Source organism: Homo sapiens, chromosome 15, assembly GCF_000001405.40.
Source record: "Homo sapiens chromosome 15, GRCh38.p14 Primary Assembly".
NCBI classification, from domain to species: Eukaryota; Metazoa; Chordata; class Mammalia; order Primates; family Hominidae; genus Homo; species Homo sapiens.
The window spans coordinates 51,083,738-51,108,954 of NC_000015.10; the positions used below are offsets into that span (position 1 = coordinate 51,083,738).

The 25,217-nt window shown below is 45.5% G+C and overlaps 1 protein-coding gene and 3 long non-coding RNA genes across 6 annotated transcripts in view, besides 2 other annotated features; 2 read left to right on the forward strand and 2 right to left on the reverse strand.

The window, feature by feature from the left end:
- The window catches only part of TNFAIP8L3 (TNF alpha induced protein 8 like 3), a 48,676-nt gene extending 27,137 nt beyond the window's left edge, over positions 1 to 21,539 (reverse strand). Inside the window, exons 1-2 of one of the 2 annotated variants that reach the window (NM_207381.4) lie at positions 21,268 to 21,539; positions 10,807 to 10,950 (exon numbers count right to left, since the gene is read on the reverse strand). In NM_207381.4, the coding sequence (NP_997264.2) occupies positions 10,807 to 10,950; positions 21,268 to 21,439 (316 nt within the window). In that variant the 5' untranslated portion in view covers positions 21,440 to 21,539. Of the gene's footprint in view, positions 1 to 10,806; positions 11,170 to 21,267 lie in introns of those variants that run through there. The other variant, NM_001311175.2, reaches the window with a different exon arrangement.
- The window catches only part of MIR4713HG (MIR4713 host gene), a 256,425-nt gene that overhangs the window by 46,250 nt on the left and 184,958 nt on the right, over positions 1 to 25,217 (forward strand). The window lies entirely within an intron of this gene.
- Positions 10,191 to 10,921: an enhancer, noted in NCBI's record as "H3K27ac-H3K4me1 hESC enhancer chr15:51386125-51386855 (GRCh37/hg19 assembly coordinates)". NCBI's record gives its function as "activates a minimal SCP1, AML or CMV promoter by ChIP-STARR-seq in naive H9 embryonic stem cells {active_cell/tissue: H9 hESC(naive)}" and the evidence as "EXISTENCE:reporter gene assay evidence [ECO:0000049][PMID:30033119]".
- Positions 10,644 to 10,693: a silencer, noted in NCBI's record as "silent region_6431". NCBI's record gives its function as "represses an Ori minimal core promoter by ATAC-STARR-seq in GM12878 lymphoblastoid cells {active_cell/tissue: GM12878}" and the evidence as "EXISTENCE:reporter gene assay evidence [ECO:0000049][PMID:35858748]".
- On the forward strand, positions 11,206 to 12,745 carry LOC124903491 (uncharacterized). 2 transcript variants are annotated; one of them, XR_007064631.1, is made up of 2 exons: positions 11,206 to 11,308; positions 12,052 to 12,745. It is a non-coding gene; the product is annotated as an uncharacterized LOC124903491 (long non-coding RNA). The 2 variants fall into 2 exon arrangements; XR_007064632.1 differs by lacking the exon at positions 11,206 to 11,308 and adding an exon at positions 11,600 to 11,656.
- On the reverse strand, positions 19,638 to 20,841 carry LOC124903492 (uncharacterized). Its single transcript, XR_007064633.1, has 2 exons — positions 20,740 to 20,841; positions 19,638 to 20,166 (listed from the first exon to the last, which is right to left on the reverse strand). It is a non-coding gene; the product is annotated as an uncharacterized LOC124903492 (long non-coding RNA).

Sequence of the window (25,217 nt, forward strand, 5' to 3'; positions counted from 1 at the left end):
GGGGTGGAGGCACCAGAGAAAGCAAGGGCTGAGGCTAGGGCAGGGGGTGAACAGGGCAGAAGGCTGGATCACCCCAGGCAGGGGGCTGGGCGGAGCCAGTGAGGGGGGCCACAGAGGACTGGAACACAGGGAATTGATGGAAGAGCAAATTTCAAGGGAGAGGACGGAGGGGCCTGGGACAAGCCTGCAGGAGGATGAGCTGGGGAACAGGCACTGCAGCTCACTTGGCTATTGTTTATAAAAGCAAATTACCAGCTGAAAGCTGCATGTACTCACTGAAGACAAATCTGGAAGACTACAAAGAAGACAATTAAAATTACCTATGCACTCATCACAGAGTGGTTTATTTTGCTCGAGCATTAACAAAAAATCTCAAGTGTTTACGTGTGTGACTGTGAGGGGAGATTTCTCCCCCTCTCCATATACAAAGGGGTAGATGTATAGGGGTGTGTGTGTGTGTGTGTGTATGCACATTTATGTATATACGTACATACAGAAAAACAGGGATCACAGATTATTGAGCCTTCTTTGACAATGTTATAATGTGAACATTTCCCTATATCATCAAATGTTCTTCAAATTAACTTTCCTTAACATCTGAATAATATCCCACTGTGTGGAAATGTCATTATGTATTTAATCATTCCATAAATATTTGACTGAATATTCAAGTTGTTTATTTAGGTTTGTTTCTGCCCCCGCCCTGGCCAGTTTTAAATAGCAAAAATCTGCCATTTACTTTGTGATTGGGATAATTTAATCTCTCTGCATCTGTTTCTTCATCTGTAAACTAGGAATGATAATACCTGCTTTATCCATGTCATGGTTTTGCTATGAGAACATGTGTGGAGGAGTTTTCACTGTTCTATGATTTCACAGTCTTTTAACTTCGAGTGACTCGGTGGCTGTCAAGGCCACCAGCAGAGTTGGGAAAAAGTGAGGGAAAGGTGATGGCCTGGAGTGGGTGTGTTGGGGTGTCTCCTAAACAGTGAGGAGGAGGGGTCCGGGGCCTTTAGAAGACAGGATTCTTGCTCAGGAAAGAAGACTGGGCTAGAGTACAACTTTGGGAGCCTTTAGCTTCCCAAAAGCTTACAGCTATTGTTATAAGAATGGATGGTCTTTTCTAATAAAGTATTTTGTCAGAAAAAAGCAAGGCAAGAGCTCCATCTTAAGGGACATAGTTAGGAAAAAGGTATTAATGAGGGATGCAGGAGGAGCAACTGAGAAGGTACAGAGAAACCAGGATTATACACAGAGAAGTTAGAAACAAAGAAAAATAGAGTCACAAAAATTCAGGTTTGATACCTACCAGATACTGCTGTGGGCTCTCTAAAAGTTGACCCTGTATAAATTTAGCTCTGCCTGCGTTGTTTGACTCAGCGAATTATGAAGTTAAATCCTAAAGGTAGAGAGACCAAACATGGATGAACAAACATGCCAGTTTCTTTACAATAAAAAAAAAAATCAATCTAAAGAAAGATAAAATGTAATTGGAGAACTAGTGGCCAATAAACTTTTCTTGAAGCTGGTAGCTATTTAAGCTCAAAGTAAATTAACCTTTGCAATTGTCACTGGGCATCTGTAAAACCTACCAAATGCCTCTCAAGTATTAAAAAAAAATGCATTAATCTTCTGAGGGCTTTGTGGAGGGCTCTTCTGACTAAGAAAGAGAAGTGGGCCTGACCCAAGGGAAGGAGGCCCCTGGGCAACGTGCTAGCGTGGGCCTGTGCTGGTCTGACCTGTGGCAAATGGGCCCAGGATGGAGAAACCTAAGAAAGGAAATGCAGGTGATGGGAGGGAGTGGCAAGAACACAGTAGAAGGTGTCAGAAGGAAAAACAGCAAAAGTCCTTTTGATATCTCAATACCTGGAATAGCTCCGATTCTTTTTTTTTTTTTTTTAATTACATGTTTTGGGGTAAACACAAAGAAGCCATGGGATCTGGCCTCCAGTTCTGGTTCTAACACTGCCTGACAGTGGAACAAAATGTTTTTAGCATCCCAGGTCAACATTTCAGAAACAGGACTCTCATTCTTTTTAAACCCTCCTCTCTCCCTAAATAAAGCTCTCACATCTTTTTCAAATTGCTTTTGGACCACCTTCTTGGAATAGTGCAGTCTTCTCTTAGGGCTCAATCTAATTTTCTTCCTTGTACTGTTTTCACATATTCTACCATGAGCTTGCACTTTTTTGGTCAGAAAATAATGTTACTGACAAGCAATAACTAAGCGACAATGCTTGAAACACAGACCTGAGTCATCCAGCTCTGAATGTCAAGTTCTTTTCACTATGTTGCACTCTCACCTTTTGAATTTTCTCTCCTCAAGTCCTGCTGGTCACCATGTCCTGGGGATTGTATATCTGAAATGATTCTAAATGCTGGGGTGAAAAAAAGGGCTTAGGACCCAGCTTAAGCACACTTTGAAAAAGGGTGTATTTGACTTTGGTATCTCTCTTAACTCTGCTTTTCAAACCTTCTTCTCTCCTCTCTCACCAGGCCCATGTGATCCAGAAGAAGCCCACGGCTGGAGCGTCCTTCTAGGGCCTTCTGCCTAGCAGTGGCTTTGTGCTAACTCTCCCATCTTCCCTCACAGATCGCCCTTTACCATCCCCTGATCTGGATCTGGAGTCAGCCAGTCCTTCCCCATTTTGTTTATAGGCTAATGCAGGGAATGTCTGCAGCTTAAAGCAGGCCTTTGTGGAGGCAGAATGCCCTCACCTAACAGAGGGAGCCTAAGGGTTAGGGTTCTGGGAACCGTGGGAGCTGTGTGGGGGATGCAAGACAGCCTGGTGGCATCCGTGAATCTAATTACGTAGTCTACCTGGTGCAAGAGAAGAGTCTCTGGAGTTAGACTGGCTTCATTTCTACTGACAAGCTGTGCAACCCTGAGCAGGTTACTTAACCTCTCTGTGTTTGGTTTTCTGTTCTATAAATTGGGGCTATTTATAGTACATAGCCCAGAAGGCTGGTATAAGGATCAACTACCATATAAACAATTAACCCAGTCCCGAATACATTGTAAGTGCTTAATTAATATAGGATAAATAAAAAGTAAAACATCATTATACTTTTATGTTCAGTAACAGCCCTCTGGGGCTGACCTTGGGCTGGCAAGGATCATGCCATCTTATTTCTCATCTTGTTTTGCTACAACTTCTTTTTTTTTTTTTGGAGTCAGAGTCTCTCTTTTGCCCAGGCTGGAGTGCAGTGGCACGATCTAGGCTCACTGCAACTTCTGCCTCCCGAGTTCAAGCAATTCTCCTGCCTCAGCCTCCCGAGTAGCTAGGATTGCAGGCATGCACCACCATGCCCAGCTAATTTTTGTATTTTTAGTAGAGATGGCTGGTCTTGAACTTCTGACCTCAGGTGATCCACCCGCCTCAGCCTCCCAAAGTGCTGGGATTACAGGCGTGAGCCACTGCACCCAGCTCACAATTTCTTAAACCCTGGTTTCTCTTATCCTGTAACCCCCAATCCCAGCCTTCCCACCCTCACTTTCTCAGTCTTATCCAAAGGAAACCAAGGAGCCATGACTCAATTGTGGCAGGAAAGAGCTGCCACAGAGGCCTGCTGGGCAGATGGCTCCCCTCACCTACCTCCCGTATTTGACTTCGTATTTGCCCACCTTCCCAGCATAACCCACAGGCTCCAAATCAGGAGTGTGGGATGTGTGTGCTCACTAGCAACAGCTCCTTCCAGAATCTCCTCCCTCATGTGAAACTGGATGCTTCTACTACAAAAATATAAACCAGGAGTCTCCATGAAGCTACGTATGGCTAACATGCTTCCTTTCATGGCCAGAATATTTTCCCAGAAAGCACATTTTACTTCTGAAACACAACCTAGAAGCCAGTGGCTGCCCCTGTGGTTTTTCAATAGTTTAAAGCAATATTGGACACCACCAAGTGTCTCCTTTTTTTCCCAGAGAACTGAGTTACAAAATACTGGTTTCTATTAGGGTGTGTCTAGCACTTTCTGTGCTGCCAAGCCTTCCATTTTTACAGTATGCACACTGGTAGATTTTCCATGAACAGGCTCAAATTTATTCCCAGGCAATGATGCTTAGGAAACCCAATATGAACGTGAAGATTGTTCTAAAGCAGACTCAGAATTTGTCCCATGCCATTGCCTAAAAAGAACATTTCTGATATGTAATAAAATAAAATTTTTCTAGCATACCTTTATATATATATATATATATATATGGGAAGGGGGAGGATATTTGCTCTCCTGATATGATTTTTTGGATTGGATTTTTAGAGGAAACTTGTCTTTTAAATTCTTCTTCTCTATCCTTTTATTTCTATATTTGTATAGAATACAGCCCAAACATCCACCTACATAGGCATTTTACATAAAGAGTTGGAAGCCAAGTGACTGAAAAACAAAACAAAGTTATTTATGTAGTGTCTTTATAGAGATTTACATGTGAATTCGAATGGGAGCCAAGGGTAATGCTGAAGGGAAATGAACCAGTTAGGGAACTATGCTAATAGAAAGTGTGACTAAAATTTAGCTTTGTTGACAAATAAAAAGGCAAGTGCTGTATTTTTTATGAGAAAAATAACATAGGAAATAGAGCTTTCCATGTATATATTCATATACACTCAGTCTTCACCTTAAGAAGCCTTCCCACTAGAATTCCAAATCACATTGCCCTATGCTCCAAATCCTGCACCAATTACTGCTGGTGCTGCCCAGTTTTACAGATCCAGTTTGAGGTGGGTTTTCTCTCCCCAATATGGCTACAAACCTCTGGAAGGCAGGAGCACATCTAAATGCATTTCTGTATACTATCACAGCACCTGGCACCACTCTGAACACAAAACAGCTGATCAGCCAGCATCTACTGGACTGTGTGGATTGAACAGTTGGATTCAGAGCTATGAGGTCTAGAATGGCCACTTTAATCTGGCAACCGAAACTGCCCCAAAGAGGTCTAGACAAAGTTTGCAGTTCAACAACTATCCCCTGAATTCTGCTGGTAGACAGGCCTGCCATCCCTAGTAAACAGTCCTAAAGATCTGTGGAGGCCACCTGTGGTGACCACTGCCATGTGCTGCACGGACTCCCCTTCAGGAACAAAGGACTTCCTCCACAAGTGGCTGGTAGTGCTACCTGCAGAAGCCCTCAGCTGGAGGGAACAGCCTCACTCAAGGTTATTCCTAGTTCCTTGAAATGACTTGCCTTTAATGACTGCTTATTTTGGGGGTGTAAAGGTATAAAGACCTGGCCTCTCACCCCAACTCAGAATAGTTCTGATGAGCCATTCTAGCTCCAGAGTTCCCATGGGCTCAACTGAGGCTGTTGGGTCTACATGGTAGCTCAGCTTCTCTGCCCAGTCCTGCTCCCTTCCCTTCCCCCTTTTTTCCCTTGCCTTCTACAGTTATTAATTCCAAGAGAAGTCCCAAATAAACCTTGTACATGCTGCTGACCTCCATCTCACAGTCTGCTTCCTAGCAAACCAACCCACAACACCATCCATTCATCCATCCATCCATCCGCCCACCCACCCACCTACCTATTCAGCCAGCAACCTGCCACTATGCTTAGGGGACATGGGTGGCATGGGCTGATACAGATGAAAAAGACCCAGTCCTTGTCCTTAGGAAGCTAACTAACAGTCCAGCACAGGAATAACCATAAAGTATGCAATAGGAAGGGCTGGTGTCAAGGGATATGTGGTTGTGGATATGATGCCAGGTAAGGGAGGTGAGGAGTCTTCATGCACTGGCTTAGGCTGTGGTCATCAGTAGACATACCCTGTCTCCTCATCCAATGTCAAGTCCTGGAGGACAGGGTGAACTGTGTCCTTATCTCTCTTTGCATTTCCCATAATTCCTAACACAGAGTCCCAGACAGTACAGAAATCTTAAAACACTAAAACAAAACAAAACACTGAGGGAAAGCCTTGGCATCCTGTCTACTTTATAGGACAGGTTTCTGGCTGCTGGTCTGGCCTTTTAGGGCAAAGTTCTTAGGAGGTTCCTCAAGATGCTCATTCACTTACTATGTCCATAAAATCCCAGGAACATGAAGAAGCACAAGACAAGGTCCTGACTCCGAAAGCAGCTACAGCTTACTCTGTGGATGAGGCAGAGATCCGTGCAAATTTCAACAAACAGGAACAAGAAATGGGAATATGACTAATAACCAAATGGCACATCATTCCCAGGCTGTCCTTGCCCTTAGCAGGCCAGCCCATTTATCTTCAATCTGTCAGTAGACAAAGATTACTAAACAGCCTCTGCAAGGAACCTAGCAATGAGAATCAACAAACCCTCAAACCTCACAGTGCCTCAAAACTAATGCACCTGAGAAACTTAATGTCAAAGGGGAAAAGAATCTTTACCCCAAACACCACTGCTAAGTGCCTGAAGGAAGAGGCAGCGTCTGTGGGGTGGGGGAGCCTGTCTCCTGCATTTCCCTGCCTCCAGAGAACGTTACCCAACACAACATGTCACTGTCTCCTTCAACTCTCCCTCTCCTTTCACTGCTTTTGTACAATCTGTCACCAACTTCTGTTGTTGATTTCTCTGAAATGCCATTTGCACCCTCCCTCTTCCATCTTGCCTTAGTGCCACTACCTTCTCTGATGTTGTGGCCATACCCTGGGAGTTGAGGTGCCAAGTCCAGGCAAATCTTGCATCTCTCCATCTCTGCCAGATGTACATTCTGAAAACTCAGCTTTCATTTGGTCACATCTCTGCTCAAGAATCATGGGGGCTCCAGAAGCCCTGCCAAGACCAACTTACTCCCTGTACTCGCTTAGCTTTATCTCCCAGAACTCCCCAGTATGCGCCCTCTACTCTAGCTGCCTTCCTGTTTATTTGTGTCTTTTCTCAAGCTGTATGACTTCTGGAATGTCTTTCCCTTTCACCTGCCACCTCCTCAACAGGATCCTATTGAATCCTATCCATTCCTTCAGTTGGTTCATGTGGACCAAGCTAAGCATGTAGGGGAGGAGAGGGAGAGGAAGGGCAGAGTTAGGGGCCTGGTGTTTTCCCAGTCCTGTTTTTCTCTTGTGGTTCCCCTACCACATTCTGACTCCATCACATGGAAATGCTTTTCTGCAGCACCGACCCAGGCACAAGGGCACCATCAGCTTGATTGCCCTGGACCATCTATTTGTGGGAGGAAGGAGCTTATCTGCCCTCAGCTGGGTAGGCTGTCTTGATCTTCCAAGCCAGAAAGGGGAAAAAACTGACGTCGCTGTTTACTCTCCTGTTGCTTCTTAGGAAAGACTTAACCACTCCCAAGTGAATACACCAAGCTCTAGGATTTCTGAGAGATGGATGGTGGGTTTGCCAAAGGAAAGAGTGCCAAGTTGGGTCTCTGGAAAGAATCCAGTGTTCCATAAACCTTGCCTCTTCCCTAATCATAGAAAGATCCATAAAATGACAGAAAGGCAGAGGAGAATGCAGGCAGCACAATGACATAGAAGCATCATTCTGTGCTTCCTGAAAAACAGAAAATGCAGATGGAGACAAATTTCATCCTCCGCCCCACCCTCCACTGCAGCGTGTTGCTCTATGAGAGATCTGCTCTGCACGCACAAAGTGGGGGGAACTTTGGAAGAGTCTCTTGAAAGTAGTACAGTAAAAAGTGAGTTGTCTTTGTCCTCTGCCAATAGGTGACTAGAAAGGTGACCATGATGGTTCCTGCCACCTTGAAGGGAAAAGGTTTACCAATGGAATGTGGGAGGTGGAGGGCAGGGGATTGCCTCCTCTTCTTCCACTTGAAGCACCATGAAAGAAGAAACGCTTTCATCTCCACATTAGCAGGTGGACTGAGTAAGGGGTTCTGTTTTTTTTATAACTTTCCCTAGAGGCATAGGAGAAGCTGGTGAAAGCAGCAGGTTGGAATATCCCCATCTTCATGCCTTGTGCTGGAAGATGGATGAAGATGAGAAGAGGTAAACTAAAAAGACCTCCTCAAGCACACACACACACACACACACACACACACACACACACACACGTGCACACACCAGAGATAATGAACAAGAGACTGAAAAGGAGAAAATTCAAAACAAATCTCTTTAGGCAGTTATATTAATGTGATAATAACAGCAGCAACATTAATTGTTTTAAACATGCATTTATATTTTAAAACACTAGAGTTCATTATTTAGCAGTATTCTTACAACAAATAATCCAATCAGGTAATAATCAAAATAACAGCTACCATTTACTAAATGATTACCAGGAACACCTCTCGTGTTATTATACTGAATCTTCATAAACCCCTGTGGTACTACTGTTATCCTCATTTTACAGAGTGGGAAACTGAGGTTGGAGATGTTAAATAACTTGCCCATGAGGTGCAGACTGAAACTCAGGTCTGTTCAATTCCAGAGTCCAGCCTTTTACACTTACAATGTCCATCTTATGGCAGGGCTTTTTCATAAATTCAGGAAATGGAAAGGCATGGATGAGGAAGCAGCCCTTATGTCTCAACTCCCTGTGAGGCAGGTACACACACACATATAAGTACTCCAAGAGGTCCCACTCACTCTGCTGTACTTCTCAGTTACACCCATTCAGCTTTCATAGATACAGGTCCATGGATGAATGTCAAGTTTCTTGTAGAGACAAAGGTCAATCTCTAAGGAGAACACACCTGTTATCTAACCTGTATCTGAATCTGCAACAACGGTTTCCATTTGACAGGATGCAGCCCTAGCAAGGTGGTGAATTAACATCCAGCTTTGAAGCACTGTCATACAGGAGAATACTTTAAGATGGAATATAATGCGTGAGACTGACTGCCATTTAGCAGAATGGCTTGTGACATTAAAATACATGTTCAACGTGTGAGATTCAAGCACACGCAGAAAGAAGAAACAACTGCAGAAAACAGTAAGGTGCAAACAAATAGTGACAGCTCACGAGAGCTGTCTGCCCTGTTCTTCATGGGGCCCATCTGACCTTAGTGATGTTTGCTGTCAGCTACGCAGAGGCCTTCTGACACAAACTGACCGTGAATACAACAGGGATATTAAACACTGGGTCAGGCTGGAGAGAGAAAACAACAGGGTGCAGCAGAATTCTTTTCCTTCCCTTTCACCCAAGTACCAGGGATTCTGAAGATTCTCCTCCCTGCCCCCGGCTTCTCTTCCTTCCTCTTTCTCTAAGCCTCCTTATCCTCCTCCCGCTTCTCCCTCAACCCCTTAACTTCAACCAGAAGAAGAGATAGAGGGTTGGGCAGGGGAGCACAGAGAATGTTGTTCTTAGGATTTTGAGAGAGTTAAGCGTCAGGGTCAATGTCCCCTTCCCGCTTGCGCTCTCGAAATAGATACACACAAAACATCTACTGGAACTTTTAAATGATGAGAGGAGATCCACAAGTCACCTGTGAAGCAAAATCTCAGCACTTTATAGTCACAGAAACATACAGGCATGCAAAGGGCTCATGTTTATGAATTATATCATACCTAGGCAAAGCAGGTGGCACTTGCACACACACAGGAATCCTTAAATACACGCATCTTGGCATTTCCTTTCCGCCAGCCTTGGCCCTTCCCACCCACCCAAAGGTGCGGGCCACAGCCACCCTCTGTGGGGTCTGATGCAGGGTGAAGGGCGTCACTGGGTCCTGGCTACTCCCTGGCTGTGAGAAGTGGGCAAGCCCTTTACTCTATGGGAATCTCTGTAAAATGAAAATAACTGCCTGGCCAGGGGCTGTGAGGATGAAAGGGTATTAATAATATACGCAGGGCACTGTCCTGCTTGGTTCCCGAACCTCTCTTTCCTACACCCACGGCTGGACTGATGGTGCCTTCTGTTACTTGGTCCCCACCGTCAGTACTCTAGTGTGACACTGGGAAGAGTGGGGGCTTAGCCAGGGCCGCGGTCTGTACAGGAGGGTCCCAGCCCGCAGGTCACGGGTCTGCAGGCCCACAGCTAACCTTCAGAGCTGCACAAGCGCCGGGAGCTGTGGGCACGTGAGGAGGGCGAGCGGGTCCTAGGTGCGTAGACCCGTGGGTGGGGGGCGGAGCGGACCGGTGGAGGTGGGCAGAGACCGGCGGCAAGTCGACCCACGGCTGTGGGTGGCTTCCTCCTGTTGCTCAGTATCAGGGAGAGGCGGGGGAGGACATTCATTTTTTTTCTTCCCTAAGTAAGCATCCACCTATTGCTTTAATAACTATCGATTGTGAAAAGCCGGCGGGGCCTCTTAAAGGCGAAGTCGGGAGGCGCGCGCCCCTGCGTCTGTGTTCGGGGACCAGTCCGCGGGGACCTTCTGGACCTTCTCCGCCGGCTGCGCGGCAGCGATGGACCCTGTGCATGGGCTCTCCTAGCAGCCTCGGGAACCGCGGCCGCAAGCTGTGGTTTGACCCCTGCCCCAACCACTCGCGAGGCCTTTTCTGTTCAGAGCCCCCAGTCACGTTCTTGGACCCAGTCACCTGCGCCGCAGCGCAGTCCCGGCGCCCCAGGTTCGAGGACCCGGCCCGCGCTCGGAAAGTTATTTCAAAAGGCAGATGTGTTGCAACCCTCTCTGCAGCAAACTACAGTACGCGGATTCCCGAACCCTTCCCCGCCCCCACCCAGCCCGGGCGACCAGAGCCCGCCGCGGGAGACTGGCAGCAAGGAGAGCCACCCCTAAATGCACCTTCCCTCCCTCCCGCGCGCCCAAGTGCAATGGGGTTGGGGGAAGCCCCAAAGCAAACTCACGACGCGGAGCAATCCCCAGTCTTGGCCTGGAAGGGGTCGGGCTGCTGAGGATCGGCTTCCCGATTTCATGCCCCAGCCTCCCGTCCTCCCCAGCCCCAGCCCACCCGCCTGGGCCGTCGCGGCCCCTAGGTACCTGCGGCGGTCACGGGCTCGCCCTCGCTCTGCTCCCCGGAATCCGAATCCATGCTGCGGGCTGCTGGCTGGGCGTCCACGGCCACCCGCCCGTCTGCGGGGCGCTCGGGCAGCCGCGGCGCACTCAGGGCGGACAGCGGGGCGGCTGGAGCCCGGGCGGCGCGGGCGGCGCGGGCTGGGCGGTGCGCGGCGGCAGCGGCCAGGGGGCGGCTCCGCAGAGGCGAGCGCCGCCGCGCCCCGCTCCCCGCGCCCGCCGGCCGGTGCCTGCGCGCGAGGCGAGCGCAGGGCGGAGGGTGGGGCGCTCCGGGAGACAGCCGGGAGGAGGGAGGGGAGGCGCGAGCGCCGAGGAGCCCGAGCGTCCGGCGCCCGGCGGGCTCCAGGCTGGGGTTAAATATCCCGGGGGCGGCGCCGCGCCTCCCTACCCGCGCCCTGCGTCGGAGCCCTTGGACTTGCCTCGCGCGGCGAGGTTGTGCTGGTCTGCAAGGCCGAGCCCCTTCCCTAGGGTGAGGCCAAGTTTGTAAAATTACTAGGTGAAAAAGAGCTTCAACTCGCGCAGGAAAGGAGAGGTTCCGAGTGTTCCGACTTATGGGGTTGCCAGGGTTCGAGTCCAACTCCTCCGCTCAGAGACCTTGGACGAGACCTGTGTTTGTTTTCTCACTAGGAAGATGAGGGAAGGGGGGCGGGGAATAAGGGAAGGGGAGCGGGGAATAAGGGAAGGGAGCGGGGAATAAGGGAAGGGGGCGGGGTGGGGGGAGATGACAGTTGGACTGTTGTGGAAAGTAGTAAGACAAGGCGTGTGCGGGACCGAGCGCTGGGCCTGGCACCTAGTGACGAAGTAAACACACAGGCAGGTAATGCTAACTCCGGCTGTTTGAGTCTTCTGCCAGCGAGGGCAGGGCAGGTGGGGCAAGCGGTGGTGAAGCGGGTTCCGGGGGCTCGGTGAGTCTGAACACTGGCTCGCCTGGAAGGTTGGAGCCACCCTGCCAATCAAGCAGCCGTGCTATTTCGCGCCCTCGACTAGAGGGGCCAGAATTAATTTTAAAAGCTTTTCTTTGTTGATGGGATTAAACACAGAGTGCTAAACTTCCGTAACACCATCCTTTATGAAAGGAAAAAAAAAAGCATTTGTAAACCTATTTACTAATTAAGAGCCCAAACGAGGGGGGAAATGCACGGAGCACCGAGGCCTTTTTTGTTGTTGTTAATTCTTGGTTATCTATATGCTCTTATTGCCTCCCTATTATAGGCTCCTACACTCACAAAGCCTCAAGCTGGGTTCTCTGCTTGTAAAGTCTGCCCAGAGAATGCAAATTATTGGCCAGAGCAAAAGAAAATCAAGAAGAAAAAGTCTGCTAAAAAGCGCCACTTACTGAACATTTCCCTTTGTGTCCTCATCTAATCTGTACAATGACCCAGTGAAGAATTTAGGTTGCACCATTTGAAAATACTTTTTGGAAGTAGAATATGGTTGAAAGTTGGCAAGTTCATAGAATTCAACTTATTTTCATTCCCATTTTACAGATGGGAAAAGTCTCAGAGACAGCAGATGATGTCCCTGTGGTCTCAGGTCGTCCAGTAGGTGGGTGAACTGGGACTTGAAATCAGGTCTGATGTCCAGATCTGCTCCTGACTGCTATGGTACAGTGTCATAAGTGAGTTTTGGCTTCTGGTCTACCTGAAGGCTGCCGTCTTTAGTGAAGTGTGGGCTTAACAGAGTGCAAATACCACTCTACTTTGTGTTTTCAGAAAACAAAGGATGGCCAAGCTCATGGACTCTAGTGATACAAGTTGGATGGATATTGATGAAATGGTCAAAAGAGCCCCACAGTGGATGTGTTATCTTGGGCAAATGGCTAAACCTCTCTCGGTTTCCTCAAGTGTTGGTGTCTCCTTCATAGGGTGTTTGTAAATAAATGAAATAATGAGTATGAAAGCTATTACCCAATGCCTGGCACACAGTGAATGTTTGATAACTGGAAAGAACACTAATTTTTAGATTGAATGGATCCCATTTAGAAAAACAAAATATTTTAGAGTTGCATTTTTTAATGAAAAGAAAAAAGTGGGGGCCGGGCACGGTGGCTCACGCCTGTAATCCCAGCACTTTGGGAAACTGAGGCGGGTGGATCACCTGAGGTCGGGAGTTTGAGACCAGCCTGACCAACATGGAGAAACTCTGTCTCGACTAAAAACACAAAATTAGCCAGGTGTGGTGGTGCATGCCTGTAATCACTGCTACTCGGGAGGCTGAGGCAGGAGAATCGCTTGAACCCAGGAGGCGGAAGTTGCAGTGAGCCGAGATCGTGCCATTGCACTCCAGCCTGGGCAACAAGAGCAACACGCTGTCTCAAAAAAAAAAAAAAAAAAAAAGAAAGAAAGAAAAAAGTAATGGCAAAATTTGGATACAAGATGATACTCGAAAAACAAATAGCTGGGATCATTTAAAAAGTTTGCCATAATAGCTTTTCAGTTATAAGGTAAAACAACAATGATAGCTTCACAGAACAGAGCATATGGGATTCAAAAGGCATTCAGCTTCCTCTAAAGGTTGTGCCTAGATTCAATAACAGGAAATGTGAAACTTTCCCTGTTTCCTTAGACCTCCTTTCCTTGCACTTCATGGAAGCTTTTTTGGTTTTGCTTTTGTTTTAATGGACAGGTAGCCTGGGTTGCAGTGTGAGGGAGACAGACCACAGAGACATGTATGAATAACAGCAAAAAGGAAACAGAGAAGCTACTGGAATTTGATCAACAGTAAACAATGTACTGAGAACACACATTTACAACACATGTATGCTCATCAGTCGTCAGGTCTTCATTAAGTATCTAGCACATTTTGACCCAGAGATAAATGCTTTGGGCATGGGGGGGAGAGAAAGAACTGGTCAAGGTATCCTGAAAAGTCTTTGAGTGAAGTTCTTAGATAATGCCTATTCATTTACCTGCTCCTATATTCATTCATAGTATATTTCTGCTAAACGAGGCAGACATAGAATGAAAAATTGAATTGAATGTGGAATTAGACAATGGGGAAGAGAGATCCAAACTAAACAAGGTCTCGATTCCAATTTCCTATGATGTACAATCTGTTGTCATGGGACAGCAAGACAAAGGGAAATGACTACTGGCATGCGTGTGAGTTTAATGAGGAACATTAGTGGAACATACCTTATCTCTCCTCCCAGTATGGAAAAATCTGTGTAAGAGAAGGAAGTCCTTAAAATAGTATCCTATGACCATCAACCCCACTAAAACAGTGAAATCTGAGGTGGTGAATCTCCTTTTACAAACCAGTTCTGATATATTTCTTGTGGGGGGGGAAAAACTCTTAAGAAAGAGAAAAAGGGAAAGGGTTTCTGTAGTTCCTCTGTATATTTTTAGAAAAATGGCATCACTTTGCAGACTTGAATCTAGAGTCTGAGGGTTATAAGCCACCTTCCTCAGTGTTTCCACTACATCTTTTCAGCCTGGCAGCTCTTCAGATATACGAGTTTCTACCACTCATTGGTCATTTCTTAACTAGAGTGAACAAAATTGTTGGCTTTTTAAGGAAATTGCCTGTCTGGTGGGTAAAGCGTATCTATTTGTAAGGTGTCAAGAAACAGATAATAAAATAGATCCATTTCTGCTAACACAATAATACTCCTTTAATCTGAGCCAGTGCTATGACTCATCTGCCTGTCTCCTCTTGTGGGATGGAAAGGGAGCTGTCTGCAAACCTTCAGCAGTGGGAGGAGGGAAGGAGATACTTTTCACACGCTAGGACTGCTGCTCTGCTTTGAAAACCCACCAGCTCTAGAACCGCTGTTTTCTGTAGGCTGAAGTGGCCTTTGGTCCTTAGAGGTGAAAGGTTGGCCCTATTTTTAATCATTTGTCTCAAGGTAGACTTTGGTCCCAAGGAAGCTTCTACCCAGAGCTGAGGGGGCCTCCATGGGACTGTAGGTAAGCTGGAGAGCAGGGTCCAAGCTAGCTTGATATCCATCTAACAGAACATGGTGCTAGAAGACAGCCTTGAGAAAGGGAGCTTTCCTATTTCTTTCTTGCCAGTAAAAATAAGCTTTTATTTGTCTCCCCTCTTATTTAAAAAGTAATGCAGATTACTAGAAAAATTGGAAAATACATATAAACAAAAAAGAATATAAATTAATTCGTAATTTTACTAATTGCAGTCACGGTTAACATATCTTTTGAGAAGTTTCCTTCTGTGTGTGTACAGTATTCTGCTTTTGTAAATTGCTTTTTCCTTTTAACAATATGTTGTGAACATCATTTCATCTACTCTTTGATAACATGATTTTTAATAGCTGTACAATATTCTACTGGATGAGTATACCATATGTATTTAAACAATCCTCTATTGTTGAGCAGTTAGGTTGTTTCCAATTTTCTGCTATAATAGCATCAATCAATATCCTCGTGTCTAAATCTTTGCACACATCATTAATCAATGCCTGTGAACTTTCAGCCTCCTTCGTTTTCCTTGGGAGAGAGAAACAAGAAAGAAAATTGCAACTAACAAAATAATTGCTGTATATATCCCAAGACTTTAAGGTTATCAAGAATTTTCATGGGTATAATCTCCACTAGGCAGCAGGTGGGTTATTTGAGTTCATTCTTGCATTTGTCCAGCATCAGTTGAGCCCAGAGGAGGTTTAGGAGAAGAATGCAAAGTTTCCTTCCACACTTTCTTTGTGGGCAGTGTGTCCTCTGCACAGCCCCATCCAAGTCCAGACCCCTTGTAGGAGGCAGAGGGTGGATGAGGCTGGCAACTTTGGCATCCAGCTGTTCTCCTGGGTTCTTAGCTTCTGCTTCCTGAGCTGCCAGCAGGATAGCTTTCTTGGTGGTTAATGCAATTATAGTGACTCAAAAGCACTGATACAAAGGGAGAGGGAAATTGAGAAGGAGAAAGGGAGAAGAGAAAGAGAGAGAGAGAAGAAAACTCTATGGGCCCAACCTCTGTTGTGCCCTAGCCCAACCCTATGGGGTTATTTATAAGCCCTTTAAATAGCAGCACCAGGATCTTAGGTTCACTGAGAGCCTCCCTGATCACACATGGTGTGTGATCTCACTTGTGGCATTCATTTTGGCTATGGGATGTGACTCCACTGCTGCATGAGAGCTGTTCTTACAAGCATCTACACAGCTTGTATGTGGGTACCCTAAGTGACTGTTGAGCTCTGCCCAGTGCCTTCCCATATTCCTGGATCCTTACACAGCTTTGTGGCATAGAAAAGGTCAGTATTATTCCCACAGGAGAGAAGACGGAATCAAGACCCATGAGGTTTCAGCGGCAACTAGAGTCTTTGTGGTTTTCAGGATGATAGGAAAGTACCCAAAGACTGGGTGGGGCAATGTTACCCCAGTTCTCAAAGGGAAGAAAGGAGTTGATTCCGGAAATAACCAATTGATGAGTTTTTTGTTGCTGTCTAGCAAAAATCTGAAACAAACAGGTTTATAAATGGTTAAAGAAGAGAATGGTGATCACCAGCAGCCAACATGGGTTCCTTACCATGTCCTGCTAAAATAACCATGTTAACTTTCTTTAAACAGAGTCATGAAGTATATAAATCAAGATAATTTTATTTGACTTGGGATGTATCAAGTATTTGTTGAGTATCCTCTGTGTTTCAGGTGCAAAATGAAGGGAAGTGACTGTCACAGATACCATATGTTGTGATTTAAGTTTTGAGGAGGTCTTACACAGTTTCCTTGCTGCTAGGTGGATCTGGAGTAGGTTGAACAATCCTACCCAGTGAGCTTTGATTCATGGCTTTGAGTTACCTAGGAAGGAGGTATCCAGTGGAGTGACACAGAGCTCTGCCCTTGGCTCTAGTTTATTCTACTTATTTTTTTTTTTTAAAGACAACAACAAGAGTAGTGATTTAGAGAAAGAATTTGATGCTTGTGCTTATCAATGGTATAGATTACCATACTAACACAGGTAAGAGAAGACAAAATCATATGGGAAAGACATGTGGGTCTTAGTTGTCCATAAGAGCAACATGAGTCAACAGTGGGATAATAGCTGTATTGCTACAATAAGGGCAGGAATAGTTCTTCTGTATTGGAGCTAGTCTTACAGACACCTGGGGTCTTATGAACATCTGGTGCCACATTTTAAGAAGACATATCAGGGATCTCCCCAAGGTGGGGGAATCAAGATGATGAAAGAGGTTTGGAAACCATTCTGTATGAGAAAGTTTGAATGTCAGGCTGGAGAAGGAAAAAAAACAAACAAACAAGGCATGACTGGATGGATGTCCTTAAATGTGTAGAGACTTAGATTCTAGGCTGATGTGGGACTAATGGATAAAAGTTATAAGAAGGGAGAATTTGGATCTTGTGCCAGTCCTGGCCTGCCTGTCCTTGCCCTTTCCATCCTCTGTATGGAAAAGGGGCTGACCCCTACAGGCTGCATTTGCCGGGCCCCTGTACTAGCTGTTTTCTAGCTGGATACAGCCAGTGGGAGGCACTGGCAGAAGATGGGCAGGTCAGGGAAGGAATATTCTCCCCTATCCTCTATCCCTTAATCTTGGCACCTTTGACAATTGCTATATCTCCTCTGTGACTCCAGCTCCTACCAAATGGACCTGCTGTGGTTCCAGCTTTCATGAGGTGACCCCAACCCCTTGGCTCCAGTAACAGCACCTCCTCCCTTTCGTCCTTCAGCCCAGGGTGGCAGTGACTTCCTGCTGCTGCTAATGCCTAGATTACCTCACTATCCTCTGTTTGGCTTCTCAGACCTGTGTAGCCAGTTACCTGCATTGCATGATCTCCTTTGAAAATATGTAAAATAGTGCGGGGCGTGGTGGCTCACGCCTGTAATCCCAGCAGTTTCGGAGGCCAAGACAGGCGGATCACCTGAGGTCAAGAGTTCGAGACCAGCCTGATCAACATGAAGAAACCCTGTCTCTACTAAAAATACAAAATTAGCCCAGCGTGGTGGTGCATGCCTATAATCCCAGCTACTCGGGAGGCTGAGGCAGGAGAATCATTTGAACCCGGGAGGTTGAGGTTGCAGTTAGCTGAGATCCCGCCATTGCCCTCCAGCCTGGGCAACAAGAGCAAAACTCTGTCTCAAACAAAAAAAAAAAAGAAAGAAAGAAAGACAGAAAATATGTAGGCTGGGCGCCGTGGCTGAAGCCTGTAATCCCAGCACTTTGGGAGGCCAAGGTGGGCGGATCATGAGGTCAGGAGATCGAGACCATCCTGGCTAACACAGTGAAACCCCATCTCTACTGAAGATACAAAAAATTAGCGAGGCGTGATGGCGGGCGCCTGTAGTCCCAGCTACTCGGGAGGCTGAGGCAAGAGAATGGCGTGAACCTGGGAGGTGGAGCTTGCAGTGAGCTGAGATTGCGCCACTGCACTCCAGCCTGGGCGACAGAGCAAGACTCTGTCTCAAAAAAAAAAAAAAAAAAAGAAAAGAAAAAGAAAAGAAAATAAGTAAAATATTTTCCTAGTTAGACCTCATTGATACAGACATGTACCAGTGGTACAGGAATAAGAAAGTGTTTTTTAATGATTACAACTAGATGACCATGGGTAGGGGTATTGTGGGAGGCTGGAGTCCACGACTTTTTGGATTCCTTTGGAAACTGAGACATGGAAAGGAAATGATGTGTCCAAGTCCTGGGAGTGGCAGAGCTGAGACTAGAACTCAAGGCTCCTATTCCCCAGACAGGCATGCTTTCATCTGATGCTGACTCTCCTCCTGCGCATGTCTTTAAAAGTATCCTCTCGTGGTTTATGTTAATCATCCTTCTGATCTATGGAAGGGAAAATTGAGTCTCCTAAATTTGTTTTTTTCTTTTAATTCTCTCATGTTTATGTGACAACCCAGTTCAATAATGCTTACTCACTAATTATTTTACAGAACAAATATCGCTCGCCAAGTGTTGAGTGGAACCTTTTGTTCCTCCCTTCAAAGCATTTTCTACTTAGAAAAGCTAAATACATGTTCCAATCTGGAAGGTTCCATTTATGTAAGTCTCTGATTTCATAACATCTACACCCAGTCGAGGGCTGTAGAAGGGGGAAGAAATGTTCAAGGTCACCTGGTCTAACCCCATCACTTTAGATATGAAGAAATAAATCTAGAAAGGTGAAGTGGTTTGCCCAGAGTTAAGAACAAATGGGACCAGAACCCATGTCTCTGGCCCTATTTCAGGATTTCCCATCATATTACCATGCTCCTTTATAGCCCTTCTACTCCAGCCCAGGACAGCAGTGACTTCCTGCTACTTCCTTTACTACATCCAGTTTTCATTTGGTTTCCACCCTCACTTCCCAAATCTCTCTCCCCATTACTGATCTTTCCTCTCCTTTTACCTCCTGTACACCAGTGTTCTACTAGACCATATACATCTGGAGTGGAATTAACAAAAGCAGGACTTGACCAATGCCTCTTTTCAATTTCTTTATCTTATCAAAGACTCTCTCCCCTCTCCTCCCCTTCTCTTCCCTCAGCTTCCCTCCATCTCCTCCCCTTTCCCTTCCCTTTTCTTCTTTTCTGGGTCTTCAAACTTTCCATTCCTCTCTTCTATCTATCCAACATTTTCTTTCCCGCCAAGTCTTCTCTTGGCATTGTCCTTAAACGGATCCCTCCCTTCGGTGTTCAAAGCAATCTGCCTGGTTGAAGCTATCAACCCTTCTAAAAGAGGAATCTTCCATGCCTGGTTGCCATAAGCCTTTGCTCATTCTCTGAGGAGGCATAAGTTAATGTTATCCCTTAGTAAGACACCTGGGCCTCTCTCCATTACTTCTCTGGCCTCTTGACTGTGCCTGTGGGCATCTTAACACCTCAAACATTATTGCAGAGAAGGGAATTCCTTCCATGGCCAAGGATATCAACTTTATTTCATTTCAAATCATTAACAGACATCATCCCATGAGAGTTTCCAGTGTTTTAACAACTTTCTCCTTTGACTGTCACTATCAATCTTAGCTAGTTTTTAGATCTTGCCAAATTTGTGTTATCTAGACATTCATGAGTGGTTAGATTTATTGAAGCTCTTTCAGGATAACATTACAGCATAATGTTTGAGTCACAGTGACCTCATTCAAGTGGACTGGTTCTCCTCTGAAACAGACACATTGACACCATATTTCCAGTTAGTTGTACTGTGAACTGTGGTCTTCTATCCTTCCAAACTCCGTGTTACTTTCTTCTAATGTATATTTTGTCTCAGTCACATAGTTGTCGAAAACCCAGGAACTCGGTTCATCCTCCACATTCCTGTAACTCATACTTTAACTTCTCTTGATGAAATTCGTAAGTCCAAGGATCAAATATTTGGGTTCTGTCCTAGGAAACAAGCATGTGGGACATGTGCCTACTTCCTTAGTATAGGTGATATTGCTGCAAGAGTTAAGAGGAATGAGAGTTACTGGCAGGAAAGAGGAGAGCCTCTGAAACCAGGAATCACTTCCCAACGTGCTCTCCTCCGCTAGTGCAGAGTGGAGGGTGAGGTCAGTGCAACCATTCTCACCTCAATCACGTCTTTCCAACAATCACATCTCCATTGTACTGAAGGTGCCAGCAGCCTCCCAGTTCCCCAGGCTCATAGTCTCCAAATTAGTGCCCTTATTTCTGTCTTCCTTGCTTCCATGCTGCCATCCAAAGTCCTATCAACATCTGATGCTATTTCTACCATGAGTCTCTTGATTTTACCCTTTCCTTTCCATCTCCACGGGCTCCCTCCTCCCAGCTCTTTCCTGTGTCTTGATTGCTGCAACAGGACTCTCTTGGCTGTCTCCCCTTATCCAGCCTTGCCCAAATCCAGCTACACCCAAGCCAGAGTTCGAGCTTTCTCAGCCATCCTAAAGCCGGCCTCTTTACTATCCTGCTATGCTCCCCACTCACAGGAGAGTCCTGAATATACACCAAAACAAAGAACTACCCAGAGTCCACGCAGCAAGGAGTTTGTCATACCCAGCCATGTCCTGCATCTGCGCCATGTCAGTCTGTTTCTGCTCTCTGCCCTGCTCCTGCGTGTCTTTCCCCTGGCTCTCTGTCTGCTGCAGCCTCGTCCCTGATGAGTGCACTCCTGGCCCCTCCTTCCCCCAGCTTAAGGCTGTCTCCTCCCTGCCAGTGGATGCTTTGCTGTGATGGCTGGAGGTTTTGGCTCTCTGACCTGGCCTTGGGCCCTTCTCTCTGAATTATCCTCATGGGACCTTCTGGCCAGCGTGCCCTTGTGTTCCTGGAACCCACATCCTCTTAGCTTTGCCTCTAAGTGAATCAATGTTGAGTAATTTCTGCTGTGTTGGAGTGAAGACACCTGGATTTTTATTCTGGCTGTTCATGAATTTGATGTGGGGCACTAAATAAGAGATGGGCTGCCTGTGCTGGCCCTCTTCAGATGCCAGCTCTGTGCATCCTCAGCTCGCCACCTTGCATGCTTTGCACAAGCCTCCCCGCCCCTATACTTCCTTCTCTGCCAGTTCCTGAGCCAGTGCTGACCAAGTCCCTTTCCCCTCTGAAGATGAAAAGATAAGGGGATGAGTCTTGTTTGTAACGTGGCATCCCTTGTGCCTTGGGTCCCTGCATATCCGTTGACCCACAGTTTCCCCTTTGGCTCTGCCTCACAGAGTGTGGAAACCAGTGTGCTTGGGTTTTGCCGTGGTTTCCCCATTTGGACTCAGGTGTCCTTCTTGGGACAGTAGCCCTAACTTGCACACTGACTCTTTAGGAGGTCTGGTCGTTTCCCATTACTTGAGGTAAGACTAGCAAGTCAGTTTTCATCTCTAGGGAGTTTACCTAACACTACCTGCCATTTAGTGGACTCTTACTTTGCTTCAAAAATTAATTAGATTGGACTTTCTGAATGACCAAAAAAATTTTTTTAACTGCCAGTTGAATAATAGCACCTTTAAAAAATATGATCAAGAACCAGGGAGAAATCAGAAAGTAAAGACCCCTAAGCTATCAGAAAAGGTATCTTTTACTCAGGAGAGAGTCCTGCAGGCTCTCACTCATAGTCTAGTTTTCTTTCTTTACCCCAAAATTCTATCAGGTATGGGAATAGGAGGGCAGGGTAGAGAGGTGCTCCTGTCCACACCCACTTTACCTCTTACTCACCTGATGACTTCCTACTGCAAACAGCTGAAGGCTTTTGACAGTTCCTGGGTGTTAAGGGGAGTGGTTCTTAGAGAACGATGGGCAAGATTTGGAGATGAAATCTAGGTTCCTGCCCCTTGTGTGGGACACTTCTGCATAGTCTTATAGAAGTTCCGGCAGGATTGAAGCCCAGCTGTCCACAGGGGTTAAATAAATAACCTCTCAGGAATGCACCTGGATGGGCTTCCTGGTACTTCCTGGGATCGCCTCCCAAACAACTAGCTCTCAAGTCCTTAACTCAGGGTCAGCTTCTGAAGAAACTTATCCTAAGGCATGCTGCAAGAACGAAAAGCCAAGAAATGATGGAAAGAGAAAATAGCAGAACTCTGAAAAAATACAAACAACTAAAGTATTTTGGGGTCCTGGAGCCCTTTAACAAGGACCATTGGGACACAAGGATATGTGGCATAGTTTCTCTACACACTGAGGGCTGGAGTATTGTGATCTGGGTGGAGTGTATTCTTTTTAAGAGGCCCCAGGAATAAGTACGATATTTGAGAAAAGGTTCTATATGAAAAGTGAACATAGGTTGTGATACTTAAAGGAATGATTTGTTGGCTATCTAGAATCTTGAGTTTCCGAATGCCCCTTTCCCTGACGACCAGGATTTATTGGATTTTTAGTTGAAAAAAATTCTTTGCCGTTAAGCCTCAAAGCTCCCAGTTCTAGCAGTTTGGTGCTTTAAGATTCATTTTCTTTACGTTTTTCAGTCTTTGATGTTGTCCCTTTTCATCTCCTGTTGCATAATGGAGTTAGTTTTTTTTTTTTTTTTTTTTTTTTTTTTTTTTAATCTGCCTTCCCACAGAAGCCCCCTTTCCTTCTTGGTCATTTCAGTGTCCTTTCTTGAGCACCATTATCTCATTCCTGGGGTAAGGGGATCAGCTCTGCATTCAGTATTCCAAAGGCTAGTGCAGTGCACTGAAATTTATACTTCTGCTTTGTTTCCAATCCAAATTGATTATTTTTTTTTCAGTTTTCATCCAGATGTTTGATATCATGTAAACACAGCTTGAAAGTGTTCCTGAACTGCTTACAGATGTATGCCAGTGACACCCTTTCCAAATTATATATAATGATTCTCTGGGTCTATTTATATCCATGTCATAGTCTCTGGCTTGAATTTTAGCTATAAGACTAAGTTGACAGAAAGTGAAAAATTCATGTGTATGGGTAAGTTGTCCACTTGATTAAAGACTCCAGATATTTGGAAATATTCAGGGATTGATGCCATTTTCCACTGAATGCTGACATGTCTGTAACCATGATGTTATGCCTGGATATTCGTGTCCATTCCAAACTCACATGTAGAGGCCTAGCTTCTATGTGATAGTATTTGAAGAGCAGGCCTTTGGGAGGTAATTAGGGTTAGATGAAGTCACGAGGGTGGGACCCTTATAATGGGATTAATGCCCTTATAAGAAGAGACACAAGAACTCTCTCACTCTCTTTGCTCACAAGAAAGGTCAGCTGAGTACACAGCCAGAAGGTGCCCATCTGCTACCCAAAGGTAAAGCCTCACCAGAAACCAATCATACTGGCACCCTAATCTTAGACTTTCCGGCTCCAGAATGGTGAGAAAATTAGTTTTTGTTGTTTAAGCCACCTAGCCTGTGGTATTTTGTGATGGCAGCCTGAGCATGCTAATATATTTGAGGACCCAGATTCTGTTGAGCCATTTAGTTTACAGTCACAGTGGCTCTCAAGTGTGCTGTATACCTATTTAGACTATTCATCTAGTGTTTGACACCAAAAAGATACCCTTTAAGGATCAAGGTCTGTCAATTCTTATCAAAGGCTTTATTGCAAGATACAGTATGTATAAGTGATTGCATAGAGGATGTTGTAGAAAATTCTGTTTTCCAAAGATGGTGGCAACCATATCTCCCATCCACATGCTTTTTTATAATGTGATGACATGCCTTCTACCAAGAAGTGGGGTCTACGTCCCCTTTCTTTGAATCTGGTTGGGCTTGTGACTTGCTTTGCAACCAACCAAATTCAGTGAAAGGGACTTTGGATAACTTCTGAGGCTAGGCCAGAAAAGACTATCCAGCTTTTGTCTGGCTCTCTGGGACATTCACATTTGGAGCGCTTAGCTGCTGCAGAAGAATTCTGATTACTGTCAACCTCCATGCAGTGAGGCAGCCTGGGTCATGTGGACAAGCCATGTGTGAGTGCCCCTGTCCCAGCCAACAGCCAGCACCAGCCATCAGCTGTGTAAGTAAAGATGCTTCCAGATTCCGCCTTTCACATTGCCCCTATGTGAACACCAAATATCGTGGAACAGAGCAAGCTTTCCTTGTTGTTCCCTGTCCACATTACTCTTGCTCAAAATTGTAAGCAAACTAAAATAATAATTTTAAGCTACTAGGTTTTGGGGTAATTTGTTATGCACCTATAGTAACTGGAACAAATGTACATCTCACTGATTCCTCTTGCCAGGAAGATCCCACCCCTGAATCACACTAGTCCAGCAGAAACCTACCTTGCTTAGATCTTGTCTTCAGCTGCTCTTGGGTGTGGTGCCCTGGTTTGTACCAAAAGGCAGGATCAGAGGCAGCTATTCTGTAGAGATACTGTTGAGGACAGAACAGAGTTCATTTAGGGCTTACTGCAAGAAAAACTGCTTTCTTGAAGCAACTGGCATCTTGCAAATACTGTGAATCTTATCATTGCTCAGTTTTCCCTCTTTGCTTTGGCTTCTCTGATGCTTGGGACCAATTTTGGAACCAACTTGTAATAATTAATCTTATCTCGTTGTATCCTGCTATATTTATTTTTGTAGCCCCCTCAAAATACTTCTGGAACAACATGAGGTAAATGGATTAATGAAGGGAACAAATGTCCCTCAAATCACTATAATGTTTGAGATTATTATTAGACTGAGCTAGTTCCAACATATAACTTTATTGCAACTAAAAACCAAACATAATCTATACTCTCTAAAACAAAAATGCAAGAAGCTAAAAGGGGTAGTCTAAGCCAGATGTTAAAAGAAATAATCATCACTGCAAGGCAACACAATATCATGTAGTAAGCAAAATAATGAGATCCTTAGACAGGAAAAATAATATTTCTTGAGCACACACTGACTCCCAGGTACAGATTTTCTAGGTCCTTTAGGTACACAATTTTATTTAATCCTGATAAAACAGCTCCATGGGCTTGCAGCTATCTTATTTTGCTGAAGGCACAGATCAGATCCTGTTCATGTGAACACCATGCAGATGTGATTTTCGTGGAGAGGGGGTTTCGTTGTAATTAGTCATGGCCCAGAAGAAATTCAGTGCCCT